Below are 19,221 nucleotides of genomic sequence, written 5' to 3'. Positions count from 1 at the left end.
GTCCCAGCTACTCGGGAAGCTGAGGCAGGAGAATGGCGTGAACCCAGGAGGCGGAGCTTGCAGTGAGCCGAGACCGTGCCACTGCACTCCAGCCTGGGCTACAGAGCGAGACTCCGTCTCAAAAAAAAAAAAAAAAAAAAAAAATTGGCTTAGGTCAGCAAACTACAAAAGAAACAAAATATACTAAGCCCCTGCTTAATTAGCCAATGCCTGCTTGTCAGCCCCTGCCCCTTAGTGGCCCTCACCCAAACCAAAAAAGTTTAGTCTAAGATGAAACTTTGCTAGCTTGCAAAATAGCTCGCATTGTCTGTTCTTATCAGCCTGCCCAGCTACTTGGGTCATAAGTCAAATACTTAAAAAGCCCCTAAGTTAATTAAAATTGCAACACATTGTGGACTGCAGCAAAACACAGCAAAACAATCCTTAAAAAAACACGTAAAGCCCCAACCCAACAACCAATAGGCAACGTCCAGAAAAATTGTAACCCACAGTACTCAGCCTTTGAGGAGCTGGGGGAGGGACCTGTGTACTGGGGGATAAATTGCTTGTTGAAACCATGCTGGGTGTGCCTGCCCATCAGACACCTGATTTGCAAAACCATCATTAAGAGTCTCACTTTCGCTGTTCTCCGGGTCTCTAAGTCCATTCTTTGGGTTTAAACGGGTAAGTTTGTTTCTCACACGCTGCAGTGGCACGCACCCCAGCCAGCCCTGACCCTGGGGGGCACCGGGAAGGCCTTGCAGGGGGCATCTCAGGTCATCCTCACCTGCTGCCTCAGTGGGAACTGTTACCCTGTTGTAGAAGGGAGGAAACAGAGCCCCAGGAAAGCAAGGCGAGCATCCCACTCCCACAGCTGGTGCCAGAACTGGGCTCAAGACTCAGGTCTGGTCAGTGCCACGCCTCCATGCTGTCCATGCTCCATAAGATGCGTGAGGAGCCGGGCTCTCTTGTCCACCCTCTGTAGCTGGGATGCAAACTCTGTTCAGTTCTGGAGTCAGCCATCTACCCCGTCAGCAGGTCTCTATATGGAACATGGAGAGGGGCAGATCAGAGTCATGAGATGGGGAAGGACGTGGCGGACAAAGCCCCAGGATAGTTCTGGTACCCCCACCAGGCATGCGTGGCACCATCACATGAAAAAAGCAGGCCTTCCAGCCAGGTGCAGCAGCTCATACCTGTAATCCCAGTGCTTTGGGAGGCCGAGGGAGGAGTGGATTACTTGATCTAGTTTGAGACTAGCCTGGGCAACATGGTGAGACCCCATCTCTACAAAATTTTAAAAATCAGCCGGGTATGGTGGCATGTGCCTGTGGTCCCAGCTACTCAGGAGGCTGAGGTGGGAGGATCACTTGAGCCCTGGGGGTTTAAGGCTACAACAAGCCAAGATCATGCCACTGCACTGCAGCCTAGGTAACAGAGCAAAACCCTGTCTCCAAAATAAAAATTAAAAAAGCAAGCCTGGCCAGGCGCGGTGGCTCACTCCTGTAAGCCCAGCACTTTGGGAGGCCAAGGCAGGCGGATTGCTTGAGGTCAGAGTTCAAGACCAGCCTGGCCAATGTGGTGAAACACCATCTCTACTGAAAATACAAAAATTAGCCGGGTGTGATGGCATGTGCCTGTAATCCCAGCGACTCGGGAGGCTGAGGCAAGAGAATTGCTTGAACCCGGGAGGCGGAGGTTGCAGTGAGCTGAGATAGTGCCACTGCACTCCAGCCTGGGTGACAGAGCAAGACTCTATCTCAAAAAAAAAAAGAAAAAAAAGAAAAAAAAGAAAAGAAAAAGAAAAAAAACAAAAAGCAAGCCTTCCACCACTGCATGGGACAGATACGCCCCAATGTGCTTTTTCATTAAGTGGTAAAATACACATAACAAAATTTAGGCCATTTTAACCACTTTTAAGTATGCAGTTCGGTGGCATTAAGTACATTTACATGGCTATGCAATTGCCTGCCATTCATCTCCAGAACTCTCTTAATCTTGCAAAATTGAAACTCTGTCCCCATCAAATGTAACTCTCCCCTCTCCTCAGCCCCTGGCAACCCCTGTTCACTTTCTGTGTCTGTAGATTTTCCTGCTGTAGGGACTTGATATGAGTAGAAACATAAAGTGTTTGTCCTTTGGTGTCTGGCTGATTTCACTGAGTGCAATGTTTTCGAGGTTTGTCCACGCTGTAGGCTGTGTCGGAATTTTTTATCCTTCCTTTTTAAGCTGAATAATAGTTTTAAGGTAAATAATACTCCCTTGTGTGGATCATGTGCGTGGACATCTGTCAGGGGACCCTCGGTGGCTTCCACCTTTTGAGTGTCGTGGATAATGCAGCTATGAGCATAGATGCAACCATGTGTTCAAGACCCTGTTTTCATTTCTTTCGGGGAAAAATGCCCACAAGTGGAACCTTGATGTGAAAAAGCAAATCATCTTCACACTTCCCTGTAAGACCAAGTGTGAGAGCCGAGGAGAGCAGGACGTGAATGTATCTAGGAAACACTGAAGGCTTCTGGGATGTGAGCCCTGCCCTCTGGGAGGCTGCATCCTAAATGACAAGGCCAAGTGACACCCCGCCCAGTGTGTGCACCGTGGCCTCACGGGGAGGTGAAGCAGGGGCGTGGGGGGCTGTTGGTCCCGCAGGAGGCTGCTGGTCCTGTAGGAGCGGGGAAGCCATGGGGGGTTAAGTGGTGGGGGCGGCCTGTGGAGTGGAGCTGGTGAGAAGGGGCCCTGGGCTCACGGGGGCATAGGTGGGGTGCAGGCACTGCTTTAGGAGGACAGGGGGCTGTTTCTCTGTTTCCTTGGTGCTCAAAGTCAGGTGAATTCCTGGACATCACTATTGAAGGACTTCTCTGTCCGTGCCTTCTTTTTTCTCTTTCTCTGATCTCAAGGAACTTCAAATCTGGAGGGTGTCGAGATGTGGATGCTACACTAAGCGGCAGAGCAGCGTGGGCTGGGAGGGGATGTGGCTCTTTATCCTGGAGGAACAGAGGGAGATCTCAGAGGAGGAACTCTGCTGGATGCCCAGGGCTCTTTGTGCCAGGGTCCATCCTCTGCAGGCTGTCAGCATTCTCTTCCCATCCCAAAGCAGTGCTCCCATCCTGTTGGCTCATGGTGGCCTCCGGGGTGGAATCTCAAGCCTCATCCTTTACCCAAGCCATTCCCCAGCCCTTCCATGGCTCCTCACCAGCCCAGGCCCCTCCAGCCACTCTGCTGGAGTCCCACTTTGCTTCTAGCTGTTCAATCTTCCTGGATTCTTTGCCCTGGAAAACTCCTATGCATCCTTCAAGATCCAATTCAGACTTCCTGACCCTCAGTCAAGCCTTCTGCTGATGACTCCCTCACATAGTTGTACATTTTTCTCTGCAGCCCTTTGTGAGACATAGCCAGGGCAAAATGTCCAGGACCAGGCAGTTATTATGCCTTCCCTGTTTTCTCTGCTGATGCTCCCTTCCCCTTGGGTCCACCTGAGAGGAAGCACGTGTGGATATCATCAGAGGCATAAGCCGCCATCTTTCATAGCTGCGGTTGGGTGGCATTTCAGCTGAGCTGTGAGCAGCATTTTGCAGAGCTGCAGACTTCCCCCACTCAAAGAAAGCACATTGATGTAGTTTGTATGCAGCTGTGTCCCTAGGTATGCCACGGGGTGTGAATGCTGAAATGTCTGTGTGAGTGTGGAGATACATTACTCAGCTGCATTAGAAAAACACATCATGAGGCTTGGCTGTGGCTGGTAAACACATCTGCACCAACATCTGCTTCCTAATTACTGCTTTGGATGGAAAAAACATTCCTTAATTTTCCCCAGTAGATTGCAAGCACATTTTATCTTGAAAACTCAAGAAAAGTCTGTTTTTTGTCACTTGAAATAATTGTGGACAAGATGGTATTTGAAAGTGTTGATGTTTCTTTCTGATTAGAAAAGGTTAACACATTTTGATGATCTGTATTGAGCTTGACTTGGTATCACTCCACACTCCACATGCCCCATATCTGTCCTATGCCTCAGCTGCCGGCTCCAGGAGGGTCCCAAGCTGGCTGGGGCTCTCAGGACATCCTCTCCCCACCTCGGGCCTCAGGTTAGCACATGAGCCATCTGCTTTTGCTATAAAGAGCCAGTTGGGTAACATTTTAGGCTTTGCGTGTCGCATGGACTCCGTCATAACGATTCAACTGCCACTGTAGTGCAAAAGCAGCCATAGACAGTATGTAAGTCAGAGTGTAGCCGTGTTCCAATAAAACTTTATTTACAAAACAGGGAGTGGGCTGATTTGGCCTGCAGGCCATTCTTCTCTAAGCCTTGGAATGGAAGGCTGCATCTCCTCCTCTCCCCCATTTGTCTTATTGATGGATCCCCCTCCCCAGGATTGAGTGGCTTCTCCTGCAGCCAGGAAGCCTCTGGAGGTAGTATGGAGAGCTCTCCCATTCCAGGGCGGACAGCTGTTCCAACTCCTGCCTGTGTGCCCCCTCTTCTGTCTGGGTAGAAATGCATTAGCTGGCTCCCCTGGTTTTGATTTCCAGCCTTGCCTAGCCTCCAAGAACCAGTGGGCAGGGTCATAGGCTCTGGACTGGTTGGCCCCTTGACCTCTGGCTACAGTGTCAGTCGGAATGTCTGCGAGTGGTCTAGGATCCAGCTTCGTGTATCCCTCATACTCCTCCTTAGGGTTCTAGGGTGTCTTTAATCTCCTCCCTCATGCCCTCCCCAAACTCTTTGGAGTGTCTCACTGATGTAGTTAAAGAAGCTGGTCCAAACCACATCTCGTGTGATGCCAAGAGAGGCACAGCTTCATGTCTGCATCTTCCAGGTGCCAGTAAGTGACCAGGAGGAATGCAGAACCCCTACCTTTGTCCTGCAGGCACTGCGTGTTGTACTTGACCCAAAGCTTCTTTCCTTCCTGAGTCACCATTTGAACACCTTGCTATACTCACTCCCCCTTGTCTACACATGTATGAGGCATGTGGTTCATTAGAGCAGGCACTCATGCAGGGGGCAGAAACCACTCTAGCAACTTTAAGCAGAAAGGGTGCCATACAGGGCACACACACACAGGGCATGCAGGGAGTAGTGTTGAACAACAGACTGTTCAGGGATGGGACAGAGGTGCCTTTGAATCAAGACAGGATTCAAGGAAAGGAGTCAGGAGGCAGCCCTGAGGAAGTGGAACAGTAATTCAAAGAGGCATGGTGGTCTGGGTTTCATCTGGACTAGCCCATTGCCTTGCCTTGCTATGCTGTCCTGGACAACCTATTGTCTCTCTAGGGCCCTGAATTTCCTTATCTGTAATGTGGGGATAATTAAACCGAATTCACAGGGTTGCTAAGAGGCTAAAAATAGAAAACAAATATATGGTAATATGGTATTCCTGGAACATAGTAGATGCTCAGTAAATAGTGGCTGTAATGATAGCAGTGGTGTTAGTGGTGATGGTGAAGGTGGTGATGATACTGTTGCTGATGGTCGTCATGAGGCTGGCGATGGTGGTGGTGCTGATGATGGTGGTGATGATGAAGGTGGTGATGGTGAGGCTGATGGTGATAATGATGAAGGTGTTGATGATGAAGGCAGTGATGGTGGTGGTGGCAATGATGAAGGTGGTGATGATGATAGTGGTGGTTGATAGTGATGATGGTGAAGGTGAAGATGATGATGGTGCTGATGGTGGTGGTGGTGATGGTGACAGTAACCATGGTAATGGTGATGGTGGTGGTCATGGTGACAGTGATGGTGATGATGGTGGTTGATAGTGATGGTGCTGATGATGGTGGTGAGGGTGGTCATGGTGATAGTGATGGTGGCCATGGTGATGGTGATGATGGTGGTGGTTGATAATGATGATGGTGATGATGGTGGTGGTGGTGGTGATGGTGATGGTAATCATGGTGATGGTGATGATGGTGGTCATGGCGACAGTGATGGTGATGATGGTAGTGGTTGATAGTGATGGTGCTGATGATGGTGGTGAGGGTGGTCATGGTGATAGTGATGGTGGCCATGGTGATGGTGATGATGGTGGTGGTTGATGGTGATGATGGTGGTGGTGATGGTGATGGTAATCATGATGATGGTGATGACAGTGGTCATGGTGACAGCGATGGTGCTGATGATGGTGGTGAGCATGGTCATGGTGATGGTGATGGCAGTGCAGCAGAACAAATGAGGTTTCTAGCTGAGCTGTAACCTCCACATTGGAATTACCCAAAGAACCTGTGAATAGTACAGCTGCCAGGCTTCCAGCCCATAACCCAGAATCCCAGTGATGCTGAAGAATCTTCAGAGCAGCAGCTGGCTCCACTGTGAGACAGGACCAGCATACCAGACTCCATGCCCATTAAGGTCTCTTTCCATTCTGCCCTCACAGAGCATGACCAAAGTCACTATGGCATCTAATGGTGGCTTGACAGCCCTTCTCCCTGAACATGGCCTGTGGTCGCCAAATACACAGTCATGGTTGCGGTGTTGCATTGTGCTGCTGGGGAACTTGTCAAGCAAAGGCACTTTATTTGCCTTCCCTAGATATTCAGATTCTTCCAGTCTCTTTGGATGAGTCTTACAGCCCTTGAGCTTTTCTGCTACAGACACTGGGGGTCAGGATGCAGTCTTCTGTTGTCTAGGACTGTGCCAAGCATTGCTGGGCATTTAGGATTCACAGTTTCTGGGCTCTAAACAGCAGGAGTGTCTGTCACTCAGTGAGCCATTGAGACTACTTGTGTACATCACCCCCTTCCTCTTTCTACTTGTAGATTAAGTCATGGTACTAATGATGATGGCAGTGCTGATGGTAATGATAGTGACGGTGATCATGTTCATGGTGAGTGACGGCAGGTGATGGTGATGATGATTGTGATGATGGTGGTGATGGTGATGGTTGTGATGGTGATGATGGTTGTGATGGCGATGGTGGCGATGATGCTAGTGATGATATGGATGGTGATGATGGTGATGGTGGTGGTGATGATGGTGGTGAGGATGGTGGTGACAGTGATAATGATGATGGTGATGGTGGTGATGCTGGTGATATTGATGATGATAGTGGTAGTGGTGGTGGTGATGATGGTGGTGATGGTGATGGTGACAGTGGTCATATTGTTGGTGAGCGATGGTGGTGGTAGTGGTGATGTTCATGGTCATAGTGGTAGTGGTGGTGGTGGTGATGATGGCAGTGATGGTGATGGTGGCGACGGTGATAGTGACGATGGTCTCATTGATGGTGACTGATGCAGGCTGGTGATGATGATGATGATGGTGATGCTGCTATTGACGATATTCCTGTAACAAGCCTCTCCTTGTTAGATCTAAAAGCACCCAGGTGTATGGATTGTTACATGTGCTTTATCAGTTTTAGGCAGGCCTTACCACCTCCACACTTGTAATAAAATACACTATGATTAGAATGTTCTCTCTTCTTTTATGAAATCACCTAATTAGGGCTTTGATTGTAAGTATCAAATTGTGTCTAATCTGTCAACCCCTCACCTCATCCTGGCTCTCCAAGAGCTCCAGAGGGAGGGGAGCAGCCTGGGGTTCATTTTTCTGCCCTGGATGATGAAGGAGCGAAGCAAGTTTTAAATATCAAAGGTTACTAGGCTAGGCCAATTTGTCTGGAAGGTAAAAATAATAAAAAACAGTCTGCCTGTCTTTGATACCAGCACGAGCCAGGGTAGGAAGACGTGGTGTTTCCTGTTTGCATCTGTGCCCTTGCTGGTGTCCCACGGGGAACCTGTCCGAGCTGTGGCAGCTCCCATGGGGCCATCATGGGGTGATGGCCCCCTGAGCATTGGGCGTTGTGGGTGTGGGTCTCGCTGAATGGCGACGGTGTCCACACGCCCTTTCCTTCACCTCCCCCAGCTCTGGTGGGTGGCTGGCTTGGTTGGCTTTCCCTTTATACAGGCCAGAAGATGCAGGAGTGGTCAAAGGCCGCTCCGTTAGTAAATGAGGAAGCCAGGTTTCCAACCCATGCCTTGTGGATGCATTCCTGTAACCCACTGACTGGGGAAGGGGCCTCTACTGGGCACAGGTCAGGCAGAAGCACCTATGTCCACGGCAGTGAGGGGTGTGTTCGTACTTACCCTGGCCCTTACTTACAGGCACAGCTCTTCAAGGGGTGGGCTGGTCTGAGGGACCAGGTTCCAGCCCTGTCCCAATGACACAAGCGTCCCAGCCACTTCCCCGTTTTACTTATGCAGACATCTTAGTTGTTTTTACATTTATGGCTGCCCAAAAGGCCTTATTTCAAAAGATAGCTTAACCTGAAAACAAACTCCTGATTTACACTTTGGAGTGTGCAGTAATTTGTATCTGTGACATTTAAGTGAAGACAGCCTCAGTGCCGTTGAAAGGAAATGGCTTGACGGGGCCTGGAGCTTCCGAGTTAACATCCTGGTTGCAACGTTGTCTGTGCCTGTGGGCATGTCTGCCACCAGTGTTTCTACTTTTGACCTCTGCCTTCTCTTACGTCATGCCCATTTGCTTATGAAGACACTCCACCCACTTCTGTCTCCAGAAGTTCCTTGGCTTCACGGACCCCCTGCCCACCTTCCCTGCTCACTGCTCATCTCCCTGGGAGACTTCTGCACCCCCCCAACTTCCCCACTCACTGCTCATCTCCCTGGGAGACTTCTGCACCCCCCACAACTTCCCCACTCTCTGCTCATCTTCGTGGGAGAGTTCTGTACCCTCCCCCGCCAACTTCCCCACTCACTGCTCATCTCCGGGGGAGAGTTCTATACCCCCCCCAACTTCCCCACTCACTGCTCATCTCCCCAGGAGAGTTCTGCACCCCCCCCACCCAACTTCCCCACTCACTGCTCATCTCCCTGGGAGAGTTCTGCACACACCCCCCCCACCAACTTCCCCACTCACTGCTCATCTCCCTGGGAGAGTTCTGTACCCTCCCCCAACTTCCCCACTCACCACTCATCTCCCTGGGAGAGTTCTGTACTCCCCTCCCAACTTCCCCACTCACTGCTCATCTCCCTGGGAGACTTCTGTACCCCGCCCCCACCAACTTCCCCACTCACCGCTCATCTCCCTGGGAGAGTTCTGTATCCCCCCCAACTTCCCCACTCACCGCTCATCTCCCTGGGAGAGTTCTGTATGCCCCGCCCCCAACTTCCCCACTCACCACTCATCTCCCTGGGAGAGTTCTGTACCCCTCCTCCCCAACTTCGCCACTCACTGCTCATCTCCCTGGGAGAGTTCTGTACCACCCCCAACTTCCCCACTCACTGTTCATCTCCCTGGAAGAGTTCCGCACACCCCCCACAAACTTCCCCAGTCACTGCTCATCTCCCTGGGAGAGTTCTGCACACACCCCCCTGCAACGTCCCCACTCACTGCTCATCTCTCTGGAAGAGTTCTGCACACACCCCTCAACTTCCCCACTCACTGCTCATCTCCCTGGGAGAGTTCTGCACATACACCCCAACTTCCCCACTCACTGCTCATCTCCCTGGAAGAGTTCTGCACACACCCCCCAACTTCCCCACTCACTGCTCATCTCCCTGGAAGAGTTCTGCACACCCCCCCACAACTTCCCCAGTCACTGCTCATCTCCCTGGAAGAGTTCTGCACACACACACCCCCACAACTTCCCCACTCACTGCTCATCTCCCTGGGAGAGTTCTGCACACACCTCCCACCAACTTCCCCACTCACTGTTTATCTCCCTGGAAGAGTTCTGCACACAGACCCCTAACTTCCCCACTCACTGCTTATCTCCCCGGGAGAGTTCTGCACACGTGGCTTCCACCTTCTCATGGCTGTTGTCTCACTGACACAGTGTGGTCAGACTTTCACCCCTGCTTGCTCAAACCCAGTCACACCCACATGGCACTTCCAAGGTCCCGTCTCTGTCCCCATCCAGCTCAACGTTTCTGTGGCATCTCTCGGCGTCTGCACTGCACGCTCCTGTTACCCAGATTCCCTCCTGCAGTGACTCCCGAGGTGACCTCCGGCGGGCCTGTCTGTGTCCTTGTGCGCCTTCTAGAAAACCCCAAGAGTCCCCAGTCGGAGTCTCCCAGCTCACTTCTGCCCTGAGCTCTGGCAGTGATGTCTGCTCCTTGCCAATGGCCCCACGTGCCGACCTCTTAGGAGACTCCAGTGTGGCAGCTGCTCCCCACTCTGTAAATAACGCCCTTCCCCTGGAGCTCAGGCCCGAAACCTGGCCACCTCCTGTTTCTCACCGTCCCTCTCATCCCGGGACTTGTCCATTCCCTCTCCACCCTCTCTGGGCCCGTCTACCCCTCTTGTCCCCTCCACCCCTCTTGTCCCCACCACCCTTCTCACCCTTGCCTGGGGCCCTGCTGTCTCTCCCTGGGACTATGTATTCACCATCCAGCCTCTTTCCTTCCAGTCTGTCTTCCCTCAAATCCACTTTCTGTCACCCAAGTTCTTCATCCCTCCCCTGCTGAGAACCCCCTTTGCATAACCCAGGGCTTGTGTCCTGTGCCCTTCTCTCCTATCCAGCCCAGCTCATCCCAGCTTGCTGCTGCCTGGCCCCACCACTGCCTTCCTGCCTCCCGGCCCCTTGCCGGTTTCTACTTCGGTTCTTGGTGCTCTGCTGGGGTGGCCTCTGCCTCCGCCCAGCTGTCCCCAGGCTCTCTCTCCTCCCATCCCAGGACTCAGCTTGCCCAGCCAGCCGCATCCTCTCCACTGTCTGCATCAGACCCACCCGTCCTGACGTTGTGTGGTTGTTTTCTGTGCCCCCTCTCCAGCCCAAGCCTGGCAGAGACCTTGACTTTCTGGTTTGCATCTGTGTCCCCAGGGACTAGGACAGTACCTGGCAGCTCCATGAGGACTCACTGCATGCATCGATGAGTGGCTTTCTCTGTCTGTCTCTTCATCTGTAAATGGAAATGATGGGGTCTGGGGAATCCAGCAGCCAGTGGGAACTGCAGGTCTTCATATGTAAATGGAAATGATGGGGTCTGGGGGTCCAGCAGCTGGTGGGAACTGCAGGTCTTCATCTGTAAATGGAAATGATGGGGTCTGGGGGTCCAGCAGCTGATGGGAACTGCAGGCACACTGTGTTCTCAGCGGGCACAGTGCGAGCCCCAGGAACGCTCCTTCGTGGGGAGGTACATTTATTAAGGGAAGTGTCTCGGAAAATTCATGCCAAGAGAAAAAGTGGCAGTGAAAATGATATTCTTCTTGATGCTCGGGTCTTCAAAAAGCATTCCAATTGCTTCTATATTTATACTTCACTGAATTATTTAAAAGGATAAAGACCTGTCAGATAAGATACACCTCTGAAAGGAATCCAGGGCAGCCAGCAGCCTCGCAAGGGAGCCAAAAGCTCCCACCAGCACCTCCTGGATCACAGTTTTTCCTTTCTCCTCCTTTCTGAAGCCGCAAGTTGTTGCAGTTTTTCACATTAACCTTCTCTGTAAAATGGGCCTCCTGTTCTCCCTGGCAGAGAGTTCTCCCATACCTTGAGAGTTAAACCAGAAGGAGCGGGTAGATGGGCATTTTGAACTGCAAACACACATGTTCACACACGTGTACACAGACACATGTGTGATATGCATACATACATGGAGGTATCATTGTTATTAAGCCAAGTGAACCATGTACCCTTGAATTTCAAAATAACTAACTGGAACCTGAGCTCTTTTTGACGTCTGGGAAACACGTGGTAATGGGTCGGAGGTATGATATTGACTCCGTCAAAGTCATTGAGTGACTGGAGGTAGTGGAGGATTTTTCTTGGATCCTAACTGTATCGCCCTGGAATGGCAGTGCCTGCTGAGGATTTATTCTTAACTTTCTATAGGAAGTACATGTCCTTTATAATAGGGAATTTTATTTTCTTTACTTTTTCTTTCTTTTCCCTCCCTCCCTGTCTTTCTCTTTCTCTTTCTCCCTCCCTTCCTTCCTTTTCTTTCTCTCTCTTTCTCTTTCTCTCTTACTCTCTATCTTTTTTTTTTTTTTTTTTTTTGAGACAGGGTCTTGCTGTGTCACCCAGGCTGGAATGCAGTGGCACGATCACAGCTCACTGCAGCCACGACCTCTTGGGCTCAAGAGATCCTCCTGCCTCAGCCTCCCAAGTAGCTAGGACTACAGGCACGCACCACCGCTCCTGGCTAATTTTTTTCATTTTTTGTAGAGACGGGATCTTGCTATATTGCCCAGGCTGGTCTGAAACTCCTAGACTCAAGCAATCCTCCCACCTCAGCCTCCCAAAGTGTTGAGATTACAAGTGTGAGCCACCATGCCCAGCCTATAATAGGGAATTTTCAGAAAAAGTTCTTACTGAGAAATAAGAGGAGATGGGGAAGAGTGTCCCAGGCTCCTCCCTGAGCAGGGCTCTCATATTCTGTATTCCAATTCGCCAGGCCACTCTCAGCCATCTGGGTTTTGCTGGTGCTGGGTGATTCTTCTAGGCCACTGGGCCAGGGTGCAGTTACAGCCCAGAGCAAATGGGTGAGCAAGACCCCCAGGGGCCAGCTTTCATGTCCCCACTGATGCCTACCCCCATGAGGTCCCTCCTCTCTTGCTGCCCTCTTCTCCCTTTGCTGACCCCACCAGGCCCCAGATGGGAACTGGCTGAGAGCCATCATCCCATTCTCCTGGCCCTGTGGTCTCTCCGCCTCCTCTTCGTTTTCTCTCTTACCAAAGCAAAAAACAAACTTTTTGCTCACCATAACCTGATAATACTGTGATTTTGATAAAGACCTTGGGCTGGGTGCAGTGGCTCACACCTGTCATCTCAGTATTTTGAGAGGCCACGGTGGACAGATTGCTTGAGCCCAGGAGATGGAGACCAGCCTGGGCAACATGGTGAAACCCTGTCTCTACAGAAAATACAAAAATTAGCCCGGCATGGTGGCGTGCGCCTGTAATCCTAGCTACTTGAGAGGCTGCGGTGGAGGATCGCTTGGGCCTGGGAGGTAGAGGTTGCAGTGAGCCGAGATTGCACCAGAGCAAGACCCTGTCTCAAGAAAAAAAAAAAAAAAAAAAAAAGAAAGAAAGACTTTTTGGAGTTGGAAATAACAGGATCCCACTGGGGGTGATTTGACGGGAAATTTTGGGCTCATGATCAGGACACAGGGCAAGTCCTGCAGCTGGGGCAGAGCGGGGGAAGGGCTAGGTCGGGACTGGAAAAGCCAGGGACCTGCCCAGTGCTCTCCACACTCTGTCTCATCCTGGTGGAGAAGGCTGCATTCTGTGCATCTCTTGAAATGCCGGTCACCTGCAGAAACTCACCATTCCCAGGTTCCCGGTGACACCCCGATGGGCCCATGTGCCTGGGACTTGGAGGGGCTGTACTAATATGAGTGGGCCCCTCTCCTGGGGATCAGGGGTTACTTTCCAGGGAAAGGGCATTGCTGGGGGTGGAAGGAGACCCCCACCTGTGTCATTGACAGTGCACTAAGCTCATTCTGCTGCCACTAAGCCCGGTATCCCCACTTTAAAAAGGAGGAAACTGAGGCTCAGAAGACAAGAGGCAGAACCGCTCTCTCAGTGCTGAAGCTGGTTATCACCCTGCACTCCCTGTCATCAGCCTAAGTGGGGCCTGAAGACCGTTGTTAATATGTCCACTGTTAGGGCATCCTGCCAGCGTGGTCATTTCTGTGAATGTGTGACCACGTTAGGGAGGTGCAGGACTGCTTTATTAAAATTGGGCTGGGTACCCTTTTTTCTGTAAAGACCCAGAGAGTAAATACCTCAGGCTTTGCAGCCACAGAAAATATGCAGGTGAGTAGATGTGGTCGCATCCCAGTAAAACTTTATTTACAAAATTAGATGTGCAGGATTAGGCCCAAGGGCCGTAGTTTGCAACCCTAAAATGAAGTAAGCAGGCCTGCAGTCTTGACCTGCACCTCCCACAGTGTGGACCCTGGGCACAGCAGAACTGACGCCAGGGCTTTCTGTTTTTGAAACTCTGGATTTAATTGTACCCCAGAAATGAAAGATTCGTTTGCTGAACATAGTTATGTCTGAAAATTCCCTTACATATTTTTTCCTGTACTCAAAGCAACATATATTTATGGCAATAATTAGTAGAGTATGGAAATCTCAGCGTAAAAACTGGAATCCACATTTGTGCTTTTTCCAGGGGTTTCCCACCCTGAAACCCTGTGCGGAGCGTCACCCTATATCGGCTGCTGCATGCTCTTGCAGACTCACACGTTGTTTTGAAACACCATGGGCTTCTAGCAGCTCGTTTCCTTGTGTTTGCTTTTTCTCAGCTCAGCCTCCATCTGCAGTGTTGTTCGAGCCTCACACGTGGCTTTGCCAGCTCTCCTTTCACCACTGCCCTGTGGGCCTCAGGCTGACAGCTCCATGGGCATCTGTCCCTCCCCTGCTGACATGCATGGTCCTCATAGTGAGAGGTGACAGAAGCCGCCTCTGCCTTCCTGCTCCCCAGGAGTGGGTGAACATCTTCTGTGAAACCTGCTGGGCTGTCCCTGAGTCTGAGGACACGTTCCAGGGACGAGACCCTGAATAGCATAGGGCTTGGCGTCCCCCCTTGAGGCCTGACCGGCTGGGGCCAGGGGCCAGTGGGCTTGGGGAGTGGCATGTGATTCATACAGTCCGTGTTGTTCTGAGACCGTTCTAGGGATGCAGCTCTTCACGACTCATATCCATCATCAGTAACATTTGGAGCCATGAAGACAGGGGTTGTTGACCTCAGCTTTATTGAGGTTTGGGGCTGGATGGTTTTTTGCCATGGGGGGCTGTCCTATTAATTGCAGGATGCCTCACAACATCCCTGGCCTTAACCCAGTAAGTGCCAGTAGCACTCACAGTTGTGACAGCCAAAAATGTCTCCAGACATTGCCGGATGTTCCCGTGAAGGCAAAATTACCCCCGGTTGAGAACCACTGTGTCAGAGGGTGGGGAAACCATGGTGGTTTTGCTTCTAATTGGAATCGGGGTGCAGGGGCTCTGGGGATCCCCCTCTAACCAACCTGACCTTCCTGTAGGGCAGTGGGACAGAACACTCAGCACGGTCTGTGGAGCGGTCCACACTCACTTCCACATGCCTGACTCATTGGCATCTGTGGCCAGAGCCCCCCACTCTGTACAGAGGCGGCCTCAGTGGGGCTTGAGGCAGAGTGCACCCCCAAGCATGCAGGTGGCTTTTTACACAGTCGATGAACAAAGCTGGCCACAGTCACCGAGGCCCCAGGATGCTGGAGAACGCAGAGACGGGGCGGCCTTTACTACCCAACTCAGATCCGCCCACCTGTGTCTCCCAAGTGAGCGCAGCCCACACTCTTAGCTGCCGGAGAGGGTGTGGTTCCCTCATTAATAATCACCATCATGGGGTGGAGGCCTGGTGGGCTCCCCACCCTGAAATCAGCCGGATCCTGAGAGCTCAGTGTGCTCCTGGCCTGCCCGACCCACCCAGCCAGGGATGAAGACTCTCTGCCAGGGTGGCCTGCCTTCCTGCTGTCTGTCTTCTTAAATATGTATGTGACCCTCTATTGAGATGCAATTCACACACCATACAGTTCACCCATCTAAAGTGTACAGCTCCATGATCGCTGGTCTGTCCACAGAGTTGTGCAGCCATCACCACCATCAACCATCACCACCGTCAACCATCACCACCATCGACCATCACCACCAACAACCATCACAACCGTCAACCTTAGAACATTTTTTTTCACCCAGACTGAAACCCAGGACCTGTTGGCAGCTGCTCCCTATTTCCTTCTAGATTTTCAGCTCTCTATTTTTATTTTTATTTTATTTATTTATTTTTTCGAGACAGAGTTTCGCTCTTGTTGCCCAGGCTGGAGTGCAATGGCACAGTCTTGGCTCTCTGCAACCTCCACCTCCCAGGTTCAAGTGATTCTCCTGCCTCAGCCTCCCGAGTAGCTGGGATTACAGGCACCTGCCACCGCACCCAGCTAAGTTTTGTATTTTTGGTAGAGACAAGGTTTCACCATGTTGTTGCCAGGCTGGTCTTGAACTCCTGACCTCAGGTGATCCGCCCATCTCAGCCTCCCAAAGTGCTGGGATTACAGACGTGAGCCACCGCGCCCAACCAATCAGCTCTCTTTCAAATCTGCTGATCTGCCAGGTCCCACCGCCTGTGCAGTGTCCACTCAGCTTGGCATTTTGCTGTTCCCAGGGATGGGGTTCCCCCGGGGCCCGGGCTGGGGTCTCTGACCTGTCGTGGGTGGGAAGCCCTGGTCATTTAATCCACTTACCCCTTTATTCGGTGTATATTTGTGCAGTGTTGAGTCCAGGTGGTCACACCTGTTGTCTGTACACTAGACTGTAGGTAAGGATGGAATTCCCAGGATCTGCCCAGTACAGGCTTCGGCTGTGACCTGCGCTGAGGCCCTGAGTCCTGTAGGAGAAGGTGCCCCCAGCCCGGTGTCAGGCCCCTGCTGCCGAGGCACAAGCACCAGCCCAGCCCCTGATCATTTAAATGCACTTCCAAAAACAGAGTTTGCTTATTCTAAACAGCCAACTGCATTTGCTAGGCAAAATTATTCTAATAGTCGGTACGGCTACATCAGTATTCTACTGCTGCCTTTTTATTAGTAGTTATTTGCCGCTGCAGTCCCCACTGGTTACATCAACATTCTGCTGCTGCCTTTTATTGGCTACGTCAACATTCTACCACTGCCTTTTTATTAGTAGTTATTTGCTGCTGCAGTCCTCACTGGGAGCTTCAGAGGGGTTGGCGAGAAGTTCTCCATCAGCTTCACGGGCAAATGGTAGCTGCCCAATCAATGGATGGATGCAGATTCATTTTTGTTATGAAAATGCATAAGAGGCTGGGTGCAGTGGCTCACGCCTGTAATCCCAGCACTTCGGGAGGCTGAGGCAGGCAGATCACTTGAGCCCAGGAGTTTGAGACCAGCCTAGACAACACGGGGGACCTCGTCTCTACAAAAAAATACAAAAATTAGCTGGGCATGGTGGCGCATCCCTATAGTCCCAGGTACTCAGGAGGTTGAGGTGGGAGGTCGAGGCTGCTGTGAGCTGTGATCGCACCGCTGCACTCTAGCCTGGGTGACAGACTGAGACCCTGTCTCAAAAAAAAAAAAAAAAACCGTTTTGCTTGCTTTTAACAACATTAAATAATATAAGCCCACATATTAAAAAAAAAAGAATCTCTGGTCAGGCATGGTGGTTCACGCCTATAATCCCAGCATTTTGGGAGGTAGAGGCCTGCAGATCACTTGAGCCCAGGAGTTCGAGACTAGCCTGGGCAATATATTGAGACCCTGGCTCTCCAAAAAAAAAAAATTAGCTGGGCATGGTGGCACATGCTTGTTGTCCCAGCTACTCAGGAGGCTGAGGTGGGGAGAATTGCCTGAGCCCAAGAGATGAAGGTTGCAGCGAGCCAAGATTGCACCACTGCACTCTAGCCTCGGCAACAGAGCAAGACTGTGTCTCAAAAAATAAAAATAAAGTGTAAAAAGATTCCTTCTGTTCTCTCCCTAATCCTTTTCCTTTCCATGAAAGTAAATACCGTTAACTGGTGCATATCCTTCCAGACATAGTCCCTGCTTTTCTATAATATAGACTTTAAGCCTTTATTAGTTTCTCTTTAAGCCTTTAAAATGTAAATGAACTTAAACAATATTATTGGGGGTTTTGTTTTTTTTGTTTGTTTGTTTTTTGTTTTGAGATGGAGTCTTACCCTTGTTGCCCAGGCTGGAGGGCAGTGGGTGCGATCTCGGCTCACTGCAACCTCCGCCTCCTGGGTTCAAGTGATTCTCCTGCCTCAGCCTCCTGAGTAGCTGGGATTACAGGCGCATGCCTCCATGCCCGGCTAATTTTTGTATTTTTGTAGAGATGGGGTTTCACCATGTTGGTCAGGCTGGTCTCAAGCTCCTGACCTCAGGTGATTGGCCCACCTCGACCTCCCAAAGTGTTGGGATTACAGGTGTGAGCTACTGCGCATGGCCAATATTATTGTTTTGGGACTTGCCTTTTTTATTTAGAAGTTCCTGGATATGTTTTTCTCAGTTCATAGTCATCTGCCTTGTTTTGTCCTGAGACTGCCTAGGTGAAGAATGTTCTAGAATATATCCCCACTCTCCCCTATTTTAGAACATGTATGCTAGCTCCAGATTTTCTTTTCTTTTCTTCTTTTCTTTTCTTTCTTCTTTCTTCCTTTCTGTATTTTACTGAAGATATTTCATTTATTGTATATTTTATATACATGTGCAAGACTTTCTATAGGATATAGTCTTAAAAAGTGAAATTGTTTGGCCATAGTTGGCAGCAGGTGAGCCTCACCTGACAGCATACAGGAGCCAGATGAAAGCAACATGCTTTCCCTTTTAACTGTGCACTTCTGTTTCCCTGGTTTCCCGTGAGCTTGAGACTCTGGACAGATTTCTTTGGAGAATGTCTGTGCTACCATTTTACAAACAGGTTTCTCCTTTTCTATTTGCAGGACAGCTGTGCAAGAGTGCTTCTGTTTCGAGGCGGAAATAAGGAGTTAAAAAACTACAACAGCCAGACTCCATTTCAGGTAAAAGAGATCTCAGCATCAGGAAGGATGTGTGTGGATCACAGTGGGTGATGGCTCTGCGTCTCCACGGTCGTGTTTGTATGTGTGACATGAGGTCGGCTCGTTTTGTTGCGGATGTTTTCTTATTCGGAGGCTGCTCTAGGTGCCTCCCTCTCTTAGTGCAAAGCTGCTGCCCCGTCTCAGTGTGCTTGCTCACACTGGCTCCTTCCTATTAGAGCAAATGGCACAAATAATGTGGAAATGCATGCAGCAGTCAGCGCCGGAAAGGCAGCAAAGACGTAAGTGCTTCCAACTGTGCAGCTGTTGGGAGATGCTGGCTCTGCCGCCCCTCCATCCAGTGGGACAAGCTTCCTGAGGATCACACAGGAGGGGGCTTGCCTTCCATTGGCACCCCCATGGGGTCCGCTGTCCCAGAGTGGAGGGAGAACAACCCCAGCCAATCATGGGCCAGGGTGTTCTGTGGTGTAATGCACAAGCCCAGGTCCTAAACTTTTTTAAAAATTGTGGCAAAATACATATAGCATCACATTTAACATTTGAACCATTTTAAAGTGTACACTTTGGTGGCATTAAGAATATTCATGATGCTGTGCAAAACCATCCCCATTGTCTAGCTAAGAACTTAGCTTTGGGAACTTTCCTTTCCCAAAAGGAAACCCTGTACCCACTAACCAGCCACTCCCCACTCCCCCTCCCCCTCCCCCAGCCCCTAGAAAACCACTCATGACTTTGCATCTCCATGAATTTGCCTATTCTGAACATGTGAAATGAATGAGATCATATT

The 19,221-nt window shown here is 50.7% G+C and overlaps 1 protein-coding gene across 19 annotated transcripts in view; it reads left to right on the top strand.

Annotated features, from left to right (window-relative positions):
- Positions 1-19,221, top strand: part of SHANK2 (SH3 and multiple ankyrin repeat domains 2) — a 785,381-nt gene that overhangs the window by 178,317 nt on the left and 587,843 nt on the right. For all 19 annotated transcript variants that reach the window (NM_001441030.1, NM_001441032.1, NM_001441037.1 and 16 more), the window contains one exon: positions 18,360-18,437. In NM_001441030.1, coding sequence (NP_001427959.1) covers positions 18,360-18,437 — 78 coding nt within the window. The remainder of the gene's footprint in view (positions 1-18,359; positions 18,438-19,221) is intronic.

The sequence above is a fragment of the Homo sapiens genome, chromosome 11 (assembly GCF_000001405.40).
Source record: "Homo sapiens chromosome 11, GRCh38.p14 Primary Assembly".
NCBI lineage: Eukaryota > Metazoa > Chordata > Mammalia > Primates > Hominidae > Homo > Homo sapiens.
The sequence above is the reverse complement of the archived record's forward strand: the minus strand, read 5'-3'. Positions and strand labels throughout refer to the sequence as shown.